General features: G+C 42.9%; 1 long non-coding RNA gene across 1 annotated transcript in view; it reads left to right on the forward strand.

Moving 5' to 3' along the window:
- The first annotated feature begins 1,765 nt into the window (after nt 1-1,765).
- Nucleotides 1,766-16,997, forward strand: part of LINC01933 (long intergenic non-protein coding RNA 1933) — a 311,552-nt gene continuing 296,320 nt past the window's right edge. Inside the window, exon 1 of the long non-coding RNA NR_109876.1 lies at nt 1,766-1,822. This is a non-coding gene — a long non-coding RNA (long intergenic non-protein coding RNA 1933). The remainder of the gene's footprint in view (nt 1,823-16,997) is intronic.

Raw genomic sequence — 16,997 nt, forward strand, 5'->3', positions numbered from 1 at the left:
CACTATTAACAGATTTTAGGGAAAAACACAGACTTGCCTTGATTGGAGCAGAGGTAAGAATCCTGCCTTTTCTTGTCACTGTCACATTTTTGGAGTCTTAGGGATCTAAGGAGTTTGAAAGTTACTTTGTAGAACATTGTATATTATACACATATAGTTACACATGGAAAGAGGAACAAGCCATACTAGCATGTCATATTAGAAATTGTAGCTTGGGCAACATAATGAGAGCCTGACTGTACAAAGAAAAAAATAAAAAAAAATTAGCTGGATGTGGTGGCACATGCTTGTAGTCCCAGCTACTCAGGAAGCTGAGGTGGGAGGATCGCTGGAGCCTGGAAGGTTGAGGCTGCAGTGAGCTGTGATCAACCACTATGCTTTGGCCTGGGTGACAGAGTGAGACCCTGTCGAAAAAAATAAATAAAAGTGCACTAAACTGGAACTATGAGTCCTGCATTCTAGTCTTGATTCTGTAATAAACTCACTTCAAGGCTTTGAGTCACTTCACTTCTCTGGGCCTCAGTTTTCCCATTTCAAAAATGGACTGTTAGGTAGCTGGTCTTTAGACTATATCCTGGTGAACTGAGGTTTCAGAGAGGTGCTGGTGATTGCTAGGGGATTGGAGGAGATTATAGGATTACACTAATTATAACCAGCTTTGCTAGCTGCTTTCTGAGGGTTCTTGCATCTCTTGTATAGTACAACACGAGACTAGGAATCCAAGAGGCAATTCTGCTTTCTTATCATAGCATTGTTATGATGGTGGCTTGTATAATCTCATTTTAAAGATGAACCACATCAGACTCAAAGGGCTCAAGCAGTAGGCCCAAAGACCAGTAGCTGGTGCCAAGCCTTGATATGTATTCTGGAAAAACACTCCTATTCCAGTGCTCATTTCACCCCATTGCTTTACCTTTTGTAACTCCTGGACACTGCATTTTATAAAATGGAGCTGACACAGGCTGGGTGAATTCAGTCTTCCTGATAAGCCACCCATCTTAAAATAACACCATCTCACTGTGCTCACATCTCAGATACATTTGTCACAAAAGGAGGGCAGATAGACATCCAGCCTTCATTTGACCTTTAAATCACCTCCTTTTTATCAGCTGTGGCTGATCAGCTGCTCTTTTTGAGAGCAGGTGGGTCGACATAAGATTGATTGGTTTTCTCTGCAGGGGAGTAACTTGGCCCTTTCCAACCCTCTGACCTGCAGAGGCCCTCTGAGCTCTGAGATCCTCGGCAAGAAACAAGAACATAGATTAACAAGGCAGAATGAGGGGCCTCTGTGCCTGGATGCAGGACAAGAAGAGAATAACCAGTGAGAACTCGGAAAGAAGACCAGCCCTTGGGACTTGCACAAGTCCTTTAGTTTATCCTGTCCCCAAATCCTAGGGTGTTTGTGACAATCAAATAAGAAGTTACGTAAGTAGATAGAAACTTGTCAGCCCAGTATGGGCCAATGCAGGAAGTTTTGGACTTGGAAGACATTGTGTTGTGGGGGAAAAAGTGTGAGCTTTGGATCCAGTACCAAAGATGGGTTTGAATCTCAGCCCTGTCCCCACCCAAAGCTCATCTGGAATTGTAGCTCCCACAATTCCCACATGTTGTGGGAGGGACCCGGTGGGAGGTAATTGAATCATGGGGCGTGTCTTTTCTGTGCTGTTCTCGTGATAGTGAATAAGTCTCATGAGATCTGATGGTTTTATAAGGGGGAGTTTTCCTGCACAAGATCTCTCTTTGCCTTCTGCCAGCAGCGTAAGATGTAACTTGCTCCTCACCTTCCACCGTGATTGTGAGGCCTCCCCAGCCATGTGGAACTGTGAGTCCATTAAACCTCTTTCCTGCATAAATTACCCAGTCTTGGGTATGTCTTTCTTAGCAGCGTGAAAACGGACTAATACACCTGGCACTGACAGGAAAAAAAAAGGTTAAGACAGTTGTGAACCCTTGAGCAGGTCACTAAACTCCTCTGTGGCTCAGTTTCTTCATCCGGAAAAAGGAAATTATAATGCTGAACGTGTAGGATTATCATTAAGTGTTAGGGTAATCAACTTGCCTGGAGCGTATCTCATAGTCAGTGCTTAAAATGGTAGTTTTTGTTACTGACATGGAAATGATTGATAAAACAAAGGCCTCAGGGCTTATAAGGAGCAGTGATTATTTTATTGGTGAACAGGATGTTCTATTCCTGTTGGACCAACTGATAACAGTCACTTCATGAAGAAAAAAGGATTTCGAGTGGGATAGAACACTGGAGTTTTCTTTGGTGGTTTTGTCTGGTGGGATCTATTTAATTGCATTCTGCTTAGAACCAACTAATTGTTGAACAATTCAGCTGATCACACACTAGCTAAGAAGGCCATGTGTGAAAAATATCTAGAGAGGTCCTAGCTATTTGGGAGCAAGTCCATCATAAGCCAATATGTGACCCGGCTGCTGATACAGATGAGCCGCTCTTGGAGTGCATTAACAGAAGTAGCAAGCCTAGAATAAGGGAGGAGATGGTCCTTCTGCATTCTCTTCTGGCTGGGATACACTTGGAAATATGGGTTCAGTTCTCTAAGAATCTCATTGTCAAACCTGAGTGTGTTCTGAAGAATGTGAGTAAGAGAGGAAGGAGCTGAAGACCTTGCCATATGGAGAACAAGGAAAAGGATGAGAGAGGCTTTTCCCCTGGAGGTAAGAATGTTCACGGTGATCAATGACTTTAAACTTCTGAAGGGCTGCCATAGGGAAGGAGGAGATGATGGAACACACTGTGGGTGAGTGGAGGTGGGGTCAGAGTCTATCAAGCTTGCCCAACCTGCCTTATTTTTATTGTTGTTCTGTTTTGTTTTGTTTTAGACTTTTAGCAGCCTGAAAGCCATGGTTTTTAGTTTCTGTCTCTAGTGATAAGTGAAAAAGAGGGATGAGGGAGGGGTTTTGGTGGCCTAACCAGAATCAGAAACTAAGAACCCATAATTGTATTTTCTCCCTTGGACACCCCTGGAGGTCTTTTGGACAAAGTTACAAGGAGGAATATTCAATTCGGGAAGATGCTGAATTGGGCCACCTTGTGAGGTAGTAAATCTCCTGGCAGCTGAGATATTCAACCAGAGGCTAGCCAAAGTAAAGCAGTATGTGGTGTGGAGGTTGTGGGAACAGGATTTGATGTTAAATCTGGGTTTAAATACTGGCTGTGCTGTGTGGGCAAGAAGTAAACATCTCTGGATGTACTTGCCTTAGCGGTGAAATGGAGACAGAGCTTACACTACTGGATTGTGAGGGTTAAATGAGATAATATACGTAAAATCCTTAACAGTTGCTCTTAGTATTATTTTGGTTACTTATCAAGGATAAACTCACCAGGGTTTCCTTCCCACTCTACATTTCGGGGATGCTATGAATGAAACAGGCCACTGCATTTCTCCTTGATTGTTCTTTGTTCTCCACTTCAAACCAATTGCCGTTTCATTGCATTTTGTTAATAATATAATTCTAGAGAAAGCTGGCCTGCCATGACTGTTTTTTAGTGTTTCTTCCTCATTAATTTAGATCTTCTCCAGCTGATGAACATTTTTGCTTAGTAGAAGTTCATTAATTCTCCCCTCCCCGACTCATTCCAGCAATGCAATTTAAACAGCATTAATCCGGTATTTAGTGAGAAAATGGAGTTTTATACTAAGAAACATTCAGTTTGAGACAATCTTTTTTTCTTCTTAAACAACTTTTTTTGAAATCCTAATTTAATGACGAATTATCATCATTTGTGTTGGAAGAAGGTTTAAGAAGAGAGAGAATAATGGATGAGGGTTATGAAATTTTAGAGCCAGACGAACTCTCATCTGGCCTCTTGTTTTATACATGAGGACATGGGTCCCAGAAAGGTTGACTTATGGGCTCCAGGCCACTGAAGAGTGAATGGCAGAGCTGGGTTGTGAACCTCTTCTTGCCGTCCAAGCTACCTTCTGTCTGCTGGGGGGTGGCAGGCTTGGGTCATGTTCTCCCACTGTCTAGTTTGAGCTTGGCAAGTTTTTCAGCTGCAGTGAAGCTCAATTTTTTGATCTGTAAACTGCCCATGTAGTGATAGTTCCTCCCTTGTCAGTATTAGGGGTAGGTTAATGTAAGTAAAGCAATTACAAAATTGCTGGCACCTGGTAGGCATAGCGAGACTGTCGAATGAAGAGACAATAATTTAAGGTCATTACTGTTTATAGTTATAATTTACCTGAGTGCTTCTCATATGCTGGGCCTTTGCTGAGCTCTTCCAAACCACCCTTTGGATAATGGTTTGAAAGGGCTCTGGCTAGGATATCCACCCTATGAGGTATTAGAATGGTGCAAAAGTAACTGCTGTTTCTTCCATTACTTTCAATGGCAAAGGGCACAATTACTTTTGCACCAACTTAATAGAAAGTCTAACAAGTTTCTACTGTTATGAGAACTCTGGAACTTTTATTTCCCCATTCCTGTCTTGTTTGTTGCCCCCCAAACCTCAACCATTTCCTACAGGAATTAACAATGAAACCCTTAAAATGGAAAGTTCTCAGGGAACTGTTTTAGAACAGTGGAGTAGGCAGTTCCTGGGGAGATGCCTGTTATTCCACAGTGAGGGGTGAAGATAACTCACAGTATGGGGTGGGACTCGGCAGCTGTGAGAAGCCAGGGGAAGCGGGTGAATCACTGTGGGTACAGGAGGAGGAGTTTGACTAATCATACCTTATACCAGTGGTTCTCCACTGGAGACAGTTTTGTCCCCCAGGAGACATTTGACAATGTCTGAAGACATTTTTGGTTGTCATGGGGGATGGGTGATAGGTGAGTGTGATATTGCTGTCTGGTGGGTAGAGACCAGGGATACTGCCACACTCCCTAAAATGCACAGACCAGCCCCCAACAACAAAGAACTGTGGCCCAAAATGTCAACAGTGCTGAGGTTGAGATACCCTGCCTTACACACATCCTATGATTTGGTCTTTATGAAAAAGTATGAAGTATGAGGAAGGGAGCCGGTATTTAATAAGGGTAATAGGATCTCTTCTGTGCCAGGCATTACATTGGGCTGGAGTTGGGAAGACAGATTTTAACTGCCTGATAACTTGATCAGTGGGTAGGAGCCTCTTGGATCACTCTATTGACAAGGATTCTGACGCACAGCAGGAAAGAAGGCTGCAATCAATGGACTCCAGTGCTGGCACTTTTCAGCTGTGTAACCTTGAGCAGTTACTTAACCTTTCTGTGCCTCAGTTTTCATGTCTGTAAAATGCTGATGATAGGAGTATCTACCTTATTGAGTTGCCATGAGGATCAAATTAATTAATAATTTAAAGAGCTTTTTGAACTATGCCTGCCGTGCAGTTAGTTATCTTCATCCTCATTATCAGGAACAAAACAATCTTGCTGCGTATTTACCATCCTTGTTTTGTCAAATTATACACAAAGTCTCATATAAGTAGATATATTAGATATGTATAATTTAACATGTGTAATTTGCCCCATTTTTAGGATGAGGAAATTTTGTTTAAAATTGGGTAAGAGGACAGAGAACTGATCGAGAATGTTAAACTAGTGGGTGAGCTTTTATAGAGAGTGTTGTCCTAGTTCATGAAGTATTTCTTCAACCAGCTTTATCCCTTGCCTAACCCTGAAATGTGTATATCGACCCTTGGGGGCTGGTCTTCATTGCAAATTTGTATTGTTCAGTTTTTTCTTGAGCTGTGTTCTTGTTAGGCAATAAAGATTGCTTTGGCACTTTCTAATATGACCTGCCCATGGGACTTTCAGAAAAAGATAGGTGTGGAGTCAGACCAGGGGCTTACATACAGGCAATCCCCATATGGTAAGTTTTGTTTGTCTCTCACAATTTTTTGAAGTTTGAATTTGTGGCCAATGTTTATAAATCAAAACATAGCACATAAAAATGTAAGGTTCCAGTATTTCTGAAAATGAGAATATCTGGTTACATTGGACCCACATTAAAACATGGCAAAAATTGGCTGGGGTAGCCACTCTCCTCCCTTCAGATGCTGAACTTGCTAGTTTGCCCCACTCCCCACCCTGCCTCATTGCATTCTCAGTACTGAGGCTGAGCGGTAGCTGCCGTCTGTTCACTCACACTTGGCCTGCTTCACTTGTTCCTATTTCCTGTCTGCCCTGCAAGCACCAAGGGTTTGCAACTGCTTGCACAGAGCTGATTATGCTATCTCGTTACATTCAAAGCGCTTTCACACATGCTGACCTTCTGCTACCTGTGAAGAAGTCAGGGCAGGGATTATTGTGTCCACTTTCTAGATGTGAAAGTAGAGACTCAAAATTAAGCAATTTGCCCAGGATCCCACAGCAATTTTAATGCTGAGTTAGGATTAGAGTAGCTTGACGGCTCCTGAAGCTTTGGAATTGGTTTGTAACAGACTGTAAGAACTTGGAAACACGGTTTTATTCCAGGGTCCTCTAGTCTCACAGTTGTAAAAAGGAAGACTGTAGTTTCAAGACTTTGTGGATTTCTAAAATTTCTAAAAAATTGAGAGAACCCGACACATGTTGTCAACTTTGTTGTCAATTTTCATTTTGCCAGGTAAGAATATTAAATTCAAGATAGAAAGCTAATCATCACTATAATTTTATAAAATAAAGGATATGTTATAACTATAAAAGAAGGAAAAACTTAATCTCAGAATAAAGGATGGCCTATCTCAGGAAAAGTGTGCATACATTTGTATGCGTACATAGAAATATTATTAAACATTTCCTTTATTTTTTTTATGTCAACTTGGCACATCCAGGAAGTAGTACTTGGGGAATCACAGGATTGGGAAATCTTTAAGATTATTTTCAGCGTACTCATTCTAGATATTTTTGTTTGTTTTTGTTTCAATGTAACAGTTTTGTGACCCAGTCTCCAAACAAATCAGAATGCTGACAGGTGTCATGTAGGTCATTTGGGCACATGCCTTTCTGGTCTCCATTCTGCTCCTGCTTCCAGATCACCTGGCTTGGATAAGAGAAAACCAAATTACCTAGTCTTTGTGAAAAAATTATTTAGGCATTGGGAGTTAATTCCTGGCTCCAAGTGGAGCCTCCACCAAGTAAATCCATGCCAATGGCTCTCCACATAGGTGATGCCAAAGAAGCTGGATATATGGGGCCTGCGTTATCTCAGAAAGCACCAACTCTCCGAAAACTCTCTTGGAGAAATGGAGAAAGATAGAATGCAAACTAGAGGTCGGGAGATAAGTGGTTGAGTTCCAATTTTTCTAGGATTTTTTGTGTAACCTTGGACAAGCTATCTCCCCTCTCTGTGCCTGAATTTCCTTCTCTCTAATGCAAAGAGAGTAGATTAGATGATATTTAAGTTCCCTCCTACTTCTGACATGCTCCAATTCAACCTAATTCAATTCACAAAATCAAAATATAAGCAGGGAAGGCCCTGAAAGGTCATCTAGTAGGAGCACCTTTTTGTCGCCTGCTCTATTCAATTAAATGCAAATGAAAGGTACCCAGCCATAAGCTTCAAGGAACACCAGACTGTCCCTTTCATCCGTGAGAGCGGTGCTGTGATCTGAGAGAGGCAGGGCAGCTGAGCCGTGGAATAACCTGACTGCAGTTTTGCTGGGGTAGGAAATGGCCTCATTGTTTCATCTGAGTCCAACTTTGATCCTGGGCCTAGTGGCTCTCACAATAAGGGAGAGCCTTTTGCTATTGTATTTTTTATGACTCCAGTCCATCTTTCTATTTTCAGCTAGGAGCAAATTATGACAACCCCTGTGGGTGTATTTCCCTGCTAAAATTTTTCCTTTGGAATGTCTAGGGATAAGGGGTGCAAAGAGGGGTGTATGGACTCACAGGTTCTTAGCCTGTTAGGGGTGGGGACACACACAGAACCGATGCAGTTTGAAGCTTGACTCCTTCCAGGTGCTTTCCTATCCAATGTTGTTGTAGCCTGTGTTTGCATACTTACTGTGATGGGGCCCTCCACTACCTAAAGGAAGCACTTATACTTTGGCCTCTGTTGAGTGATGGTCTTTTTACTGAGTTGAAATCTCTTTCCTCTGCTTTTTACTCATTGTTTCTGGCCCTGCCCTCTGCAGCCGCTCAGAAGAATTTTGTTTCCTTCTCACTTGTTAAGTCAGCCCTGCATCTTTTCTCTTAGTTAAGCATTCTCTTCACCCTCAGCCATTTATCTCTCTTTTTTTTTTTTTTTTTTGAGATGGAGTCTTGCTCTGTTACCCAGGCTGGAGTGCAGTGGCGCGATCTCGGCTCACTGCAAGCTCCGCCTCCTGGGTTCACGCCATTCTCCTGCCTCAGCCTCCTGAGTAGCTGGGACTACTGGCGCCCGCCACCACGCCCGGCTAATTTTTTTTGTATTTTTAGTAGAGACGGGGTTTCAACGTGTTAGCCAGGATGGTCTCGATCTCCGGACCTTGTGATCCGCCCGCCTCGGCCTCCCAAAGTGCTGGGATTACAGGCATGAGCCATCGCGCCCGGCCAGCCATTTCTCTTATAATTTCCAGACCTCTCACCATCTAGATTATTATCCTTGGGCTTCATCCTAACTTATTCATTCATTTACTTATTCAACAAATATTTATATAGTACCTACCATGTGCCAGGCTTTGTGCTGCATACTGGTGATGGGGTGTTAAGCAAGACCTGATTCCTGGCCTCTGAGTACTATGGAGAAAACATTCATTGAGTAAATAATTCTGAAGCCCCACTTGGTGAGTTTGAACTCCAGCCCCACCATTTACCTTTTGGAGCTGTTCGGTAAGTTGTTTGACTTTTGTGGCCCAGAGTTCCCCTATCTGCTGAGTGGGGGAGGGGGGAGTAATAATAGCTACTTCATTAGGGTTGTTATTAGGAGTTAAAAATGAAAAGTACCTAGAACCAAAGTTGGCATGTCATAAACCCTGAGAAAATGTTAGCTGCTGTTACTACTACAGTACTACAACTACTACTACAATGGCAGAGAAAAAGATGCTCAGGTGCATGGACTGTGGAGTTGTGGAAGCATGGAATTCTCCTCTAAGGAAGTAGCATTTAAGCTGAGACATGTAGGGTGAACAGGAGTTGGCTCAGTGAAGAGAGAGAGGAGAGTGGTGAGCAGTCCAAGCAGAGGAAACAGCATGTGCAAAGGTCCTGAGGAAGGGAAGGTACTTGGCATGTGGTAGGAACAAAAGAAAGCCAGTACGGGTAGAGCTTAGTGAGGCAATGAGCAGCAGGAGACATACACCAGAGTGGTGAATGGGGCTGCATGCTACAGGATCTCACAGGTCATTTGAAGACTTTGGGTTCTGTAAGAGCAATGGCCAGATGCTAAGAGGTGTAAATCAAAAGTATCTGAGATAGGTCTCAATCAATTTAGAAAGTTTATTTTGCCAAGGTTAAGGATGTGTTCCTGACATAGCCTCAAGAGGTCCTAACAACATGTGCCCAAGGTGGTCAGGGTACACCTTGGTTTTATACATTTTAGGGAGACCTGAGATATCAGTCAATACCTGTAAGACATACATTGGTTTGGTCTGGAAAGGTGGGACAACTTGAAGTGGTGGGGGTGGGGTGGGGCAGCTTCCAGGTCATAGGTAGATTTAAAGATTTTCTGACTGGCAATTTGTTGAAAGAGTTATTATCAATAGAAAAGAATGGGTTACAATAAGGGGTGGTAGAGACCAAAGTTTTATCATGCAGATAAAGCCTTCAGGTAGCAGGCTTCAGAGAGAATAGATTGTAAATATTTCTTATCAGACATAAAGAGTCTGTTCTATTAGTAATTTATTAGTAATTCTTTTTTTTTTTTTGAGACAGAGTCTTGCTCTGTCACCAAGGCTGGAGTACAGTAGTGCTATCCTGGCTCACTGCAACCTCTGCCTCCCAGGTTCAAGCAATTCTCCTGCCTCAGTCTCCCGAGTAGCTGGGATTATAGGTGCCTGCCACCACACTTGGCTAATTTTTGTATTTTTAGTAGAGACATGGTTTTACCACATTGCCCAGGCTGGTCTCCAACTCCTGACCTCAAGTGATGCACTCTCCTTGGCCTCCTAAAGTGCTGGGATTACAGGTGCGAGCCACCGTGCCCGGCCTCTATCAGTAATTCCAAAAGGGAGGAGGGTATAATGATGCAATCAGGCCTCCCCTTACTATCAGGGCCTGAACTAGTTTTTCAGGTTAACTTTGGAATGCCCTTGCCGAGGGGAGGGGTTCATTCAGTTGATTGGGGGGCTTCAAATTTTATTTTTGGTTTACAAAGGCTTTAAGTTGTGGAGAAGCAAGGCAAAGGTTTGCCTTTTGTGATCACTCTGGCTATTCCATAGGTTCTGAATACATGAAATTCTTTGGGATCATCATCTCCTTTAATTTGTACCCTTTACTCTTATTGACACAACCAAGGATCACATTTGCTCTTTAGGTGGTTTTATAGAACCAGTGGCTCATATCCAGGGTCTCATTCCATAAGGCCTTGCCTTGACTTACTGGTCTTCAAACTCCCTAAAGAATTACACAATAGAAGCTTAAAGTATTATCCCACACAGATGAATGAAAATCCTAAGGCTGGAAATCTTTAGATTATAAGAGCACAAACTTCAATAGCGTGGTTTTAGGCATTGTAACAGGTGGTGGAGTGGCAGCTTTGGGCAGGGGGACCTACAAATAGCCATGAAATCCCAAGGCTGTCCTAGCCCTCTACCCCCCCGGCACAGACACCCTATGATTATATGCCATTTTGGGACACCTATGGGGTACAGTGAGACCTTTTAATCAATACTTGGGTAGAGAGACAATCCTTTTTGAGGCACATATCGTAACTCCTTCCCAAGAAGCTGAAGCCTTACTCTGAGTATCTCTTTCTCTTTTTCATTCGTGACACTGAAATAACAGGGCAAGAGTAGGGTGGATTGTGGATAACCTGCTGACATCAGTGATAGATCAAATAATTGATTTTCTTCTAAATCCGGATTATGCTGCTGTAGCTCCCAGGAACTATTTATAGTGCCCGTCAGTCTTATTCTGTTGTGAGCATTGGTTGAGGTGTATATATATACACACACACACGCATGTGCACACACACGGAAGAAGATTTGAACACATACACACAACTTCAATAGCAATATGCTCAGACCCTCAACTCACAATGTCTCAAGTTTATGTACAGATCCACACATTTACTTTTAAAAACTGAGGTATAATTGACAAATAGAAGTTGTATATATTTAAGCATACTATGCAGTGTTTTGATATATGTATACATTGTGAAAAGGTCACCAAAATTGAGCTAATTTATATATTTATGACCTTGCATGGTCATGATTACTTTTTGCATGGTGAGAACATTTAAGATCTATCCCCTTAGCACTTTTCAAGTATATAGTACAGTACTGTTAACTACAGTGACATTGCTGGATGTTAGGTCTCCAGAACTCATATATAATAACTTAATTTATATAACTGAAGCTTTGTATCCTTTGACCAACATCTCCCCATTTCTCCCTCCCTTCAGCCCCTGGCAACTACGGTTCTACTCTGTGCTTCTATGAGTTTCAGTATTTTAGATTTCACATATAAGTGAGATCATGCAGTATTAGTCTTTCTGTGTGTCTGGCTTATTTCACTTTGCATAACGTCCTCCAGGTTTATCCGTGTTGTTGTAAGTGGCAGGATTTCCTTTTTTTTAAGGCTGAGTAATATTCCATTGCCTATGTACATATACCACAATTTCTTTATCCATTTATCTGTGGATAGACATTTAGGTTTTCATATCTTGGCTATTGTGAATAATGTGGTGTTGAACATGGGAGTGCAAATATCTTTTTAAGATCCTGATTTTATTTCCTTTGGATACATACCCAGAGATTGGATTGCTAGATCATATTGATAGTTCTACTTTTTTTTTTTTGAGAAAGCTCCATACAGGTTCCCATAACGGCTGTTCAATTTATGTTCCCACCAACTGTATAAAGAGTTCCCTTTTCTCTACATCCTCACCAGCTTGTCTCTTTTTTTAATGATAGCTATTCTAACAGGTGGTCTTACACCATTTTAACACACCCTGTTACAGACCTTCAGATCTGAAGAGGCCACGTGGCCATCCTGAGCTTTCTCTTCATTCCTGGTTAACTGTTTTTCAGTCTCTGGGATCTTGCTGCTGAAAGAGATGCTGGTGGACCAGCCACAACATCACCGAGGCTGCTGGATATGCAAAATCTTGGGTCCCACCCTAGAACTCCTGAGTCAGAATCTGCCTTTTAACAAGATCCCAGGTGATTTGTATGCATGTTATAGTCTGAGGAGCCATGGGCTAAAATATTTGCCTCCCTTGGCAAACATAGCAGTGGCTCCAACCAGAGCAGCTCTATTTTTATGCTTGATATTAATGGTTTCTACAGAGGATTTTACTGGAAGAAAGGGCTCCCCTGCTAGGACGATGTATGAAAGCTGCTGCACCACACTGTGCTGGCTTTCAGGCTTGGAGGATGTTTCCTCTCAGAACTTCTTGTGTGGCCACATTTTTCCATTTGGACACTTCTCATATACTCACCCCATTTCCTAGAATGTTGTCTCCCACATCCCCCGACGTTGCCAGACTAAATCCCATACAACTTTTAGAGGTCTCAGCTTTTAATTGATTCCTCTTGTAGGCTGCAAATGCACAGTGAATGTCTCTTTGTAAACACTGAGCATACTTGGAGTTTTATGCTTAATATCTACCTTCTCCAAGAAATTATGAACTCCATAAGGTATTGTTATTTGGTGCTTAATAGACATGCAATAAATAGGCATTGAAAGAATGAAGGACATAGGAAGGTTGCTCAAGGAGGACTACAAGTAAAGGTTGTTCATTCACTCATGCAGAAAGCATTTCTTGAACACCTACTCTGTGTCAGGCAGGGTATTGAGTCTTGGGGGCACACATAGCTCAGGCCTGGGTCCTTACTGCAGTTGCTCTTAGTATAGCAGGTGGAGATGGACATAAACACTGAGGCACAGGCAGGTGGGAGCCAATATCAGTTCCCATGAGACACAAAAGAAGGGGTGATTGTACCTCATTTCTGAGATAATTTGTTAATATCTCAGCCAGGGCTCTGGGATCTTCTGTTTCTCTCTGTGTGAGGAATTAGCTGTTTCAAGGAGCTTTCTCAAAAGGAACCCTTGGCTCAGAGGGCATTATGAATCTTGATTTTGATTTTTTCTTATTTTTTATGAGTAAGTTTCTTAGGAACAGGCACAGATACTGTTTGTTTGTTTTTTTTTTTTTTTTTGAGACACAGTCTCTCTCTGTTGCCAGGCTGGAGTGCAGTGGCGTGATCTTGGCTCACTGCAACCTCTGCCTCCCAGGTTCAAGCGATTCTCCTGCTTCAACCTCCCGAGTAGCTGGGACTACAGGCACGTGCCACCACACCCAGCTAATTTTTGTATTTTTAGTAGAGACGGGGCTTCACCATGTTGGCTGAGATGGTCTTGATCTCTTGACATCGTGATCTGCCTGCCTTGGCCTCCCAAAGTGCTGGGATTACAGGCTTGAGCCCCAGCACCCGGCCTACAGATACTGATTTTTAAAGAATAAATCTTCAGACTTTAACTTCTCTTTTTAACAATGATCCTCTATTTCAGTTTGTTGGAGGTGATTCCTTATTTTTCATTTTTTTTTTCCAAAGGTCAAATGAAGAATAAACCCAAATATAAGGAAAAAGCAAGGGCTTAAATAAGGAAAACCTTGGATAGGCAAGGCAGTTTCTTCTCTGCTTCCCTCTTTGTCTCCCTCTGTCCTTCCTGCATTCCCTCCCTCCTTTCTTCCCTCCTTTGTTAGGTGTTGGGGATTCAGTATAGTCTTTCTCCTCACATGGCTTACCATCTAATGAAGCAAACAGAGGATTAAGCCATCACAGCAAAGTGTGAAATATACTCAGATGGGAAGGGCCAGTTGCCCTGGGAGCACATAGCAGAGATATGCTTTAGTCTAGAATTGCAAAAGGCTTCCTAGAGGAAGTGATATTGAGGGATGAGTAAGCTTTAGAAGTGTCAGGCTTCAGGCCAGTAGGGTGGAGGGAGAGAGGGACAGTCAGGGTGGTGGGGACATTCTGGGTAGGGCACAGCATGTGCAAAGGCCCAGAAATAAGAGGGGGCACAGCACATTGAGGGAATTGAGAGAAGAGCAGCAGGGGCTGGGACATAGGGAGCTTGCAGAGAAGAGACTGGGGTAGGAAAGAGGCAGGACCCTCATGGTACAGGATTCTTTAAGCCACTTTTAATAGTTTGAACTTGATCTTGGGGAAATGGGGAGCTAATAAAGGGTTTTAAGCTCAGAAGTGAGACAATCAGACTTGAGTATTTGTGAGGTCCCTAGTGTGGAGAGCATATTCCTGGGATAAGTCTGAAGGTGGGGAAACTGAAAGGGGGCTGTTGTAGCTGCTGAGGTAAAAGATAATGGTATTCTGATAATCCTAGTGAGCTAAGTAGTATGGGTGCTCCTGGGGATTGGGTTTACGAGTGCTAAAGCCCACCTTGACCCTGACCATCACTCAGGCAGCCCTTGTGCCAGGCCTGTGCTAATTAATAATTTCATTTAATGCTTGTATAATCTTGCCAAGTATGTTTTGCCTCCACCTGCCAAAAAGAGACAAGGATCTACCTGTTGTCTTTCTCTGGGGGGCCCGGTGACAACCAAAATAAGATCCTGTTTAAGAAAAGGTCTTAAAAAGTATAAGCTATACTCATAAGAATGATTATGAGCTATATTCATAATTCACTGAGAAGTGAATTAATGATGTAATATAACCCTGGGTCAACCTGGAGGAGATCTCAACATGGGCAAATTGGGGGTGGGTTATGTGGGTGAGGATGTCAGAGACTTCAGAATGGCCCTTGACCCCAAACTAGTTTCTCTGTCACCCTGCAGATATCTAAAATTCTATCATTAGTTGAAATGCAGGTCCAGGCCGGGAGCGGTGGCTCACGCCTGTAATCCCAGCGCTTTGGGAGGCCGAGGTGGGCGGATCGCGAGGTCAGGAGATCAAGACCATCCTAGCTAACACGGTGAAACCCCGTCTCTACTAAAAATACAAAAAATTAGCCGGGCTTGGTGGCAGGCGCCTGTAGTCCCAGCTACTTGGGAGACTGAGGCAGGAGAATGGCATGAATCCAGGAGGTGGAGCTTGCAGTGAGCTGAAATAGCGCCACTGCACTCCAGCCTGGGGATAGAGCGAGACTCCGTCTCAAAAGAAAAAAGGAATGCAGGTCCAAATGAAACTCTACTATTAAGCGAAGGGGTAATGAGGATCTTCCACATTACATAAAAACACTGTTCATGCATGGCATTGGTACGGATATCTTGCTTTGTATTTTTTGCCAATAATATAAATTTTCATTTATTTTCTCCCATTGATCTGCAGTCTTCATAAAACCCATAAAAGGTAGATGGAGAGGTCTGGGATGATTATTCTCATTTAACAGATGATAAAACAGAGAAAGTCTCTGAAAAGGAAGTGACTTGCTTGCAATAAATGGCAGAGCTAAACTAGGACCTGGAATCTTCCAACTGCAGGCTGCGAGGCTCAGGCCTAAGCCCAGAGTTACCTGAGACTCAAGGTGGGTGAGAGCAGACAGCAGGGGAAAGAATGAGAGAAAGGAAGGTGCAGGCATCCCTCAGGTGGGGAGTCCATGTGCCTGAACTTTCTGGCGGTCCTTTTAGTTGCAACCTGCTTGAGGTGATGGTTTCTCCTTGTTTCAACCCAGAAACTTTCCTGTATACTCATTCATCAGGTTCACTTTCTGCTCTGCCAGTGAGGTAGGAAAGCCAGGAAGCACTTGCTGTAGGCTTTCATTTTACTTGTTTTTCAGATGAGTGAGGAATGAAGATAGATCAGGGAGGCCAGGAGTGGGGAGGCAGAGAACATCACTGAGATACTATTAGCAGACTCTCTTCAAGAGGGTTTTAGTTAAATGAGACAAATAATAATGACATTAAAAATCTTCTGTGTCAGGGAAACTCTTTATGGCTCACAAAACGCTTCTATCTCCATTTAGCTCTTAACCCCTTTCTAGTGCTTTCCTGCTGGATTTGTTGAGGCGACAAAATGAGATAATGATATAAAGTAGTTAGAAGTACCTAACTATCGTGAGTAACTCATGTCCTCCTCTTCCTTCTTTATGCCATTACACTTGGTACAATATTTAGTGATAACATTAATTATTGCTTCCATTTATTGAGCACTTACTATGAGCTAAGAACTATGCTGAACCCTTCGCAGGCCTTATTCCATTTAATCTTCATAGCAATTCTCTAAGAAAGGGACTATGATTCCTCTCTTGTAGATGAGAATATGAAGGTTCAGAGAAGTACACTTGCTTGCTAAATACACAGTTTGTATGTGGAAGAGCTGGATTTTGAATCCAGGCTGTCTCCACACTCCCTGCTAGTAATGGCTCGGCCTCCTCAAATCAGTCTGGGTTCCTTCTATTAGCACCCTTTCCCCCAGAACAGTGACTGTCAGCCTGGGCTACCCAGTGGCTCTCAGCATGCGCTACCCATTGGAATTACCTGTTACCTCCAATGGGTAATAGGGAAGCTTTAAGAACTTGCATGCTGGGGTCCCACCCTGAGGCACAGATATGATTGGTCTGGGGTGTGGCCTGAGCCATGGGACTTTAGAAAACTCTGTAGGTGGTTCCAATGTGCAGCCAGGGTTGAGACTCTGAGTTGCAAAGTTTTAGTATCGTATTCGCCTCCTGTATTTGTCACAGGTTGGCTAGGTGTTTGCTTAATCAAGGGAACTCAGACTCAAATACCTATGGATAAGGCAAAAATGTAAAAACAGTAGTAATTAAAAAAATAGAGATAAAGTGTGATGATTGACTTAAAGTGTGGCAATTGACTTTGACCTCAGCTTTGGGAGGATACTAGGGAGTGGTGGGGAACAGTAAACTGGAGAGCCCTTGGACATCTAAAGAGGAGCCCCTCTACCCCAATCAGTTATTGCCATCTGGGCCCAGTGTGGTCAGATCTCATTTTTTTCAAAAGAAGATGG

This window comes from Homo sapiens, chromosome 5 (genome assembly GCF_000001405.40).
Source record: "Homo sapiens chromosome 5, GRCh38.p14 Primary Assembly".
Lineage (NCBI taxonomy): Eukaryota > Metazoa > Chordata > Mammalia > Primates > Hominidae > Homo > Homo sapiens.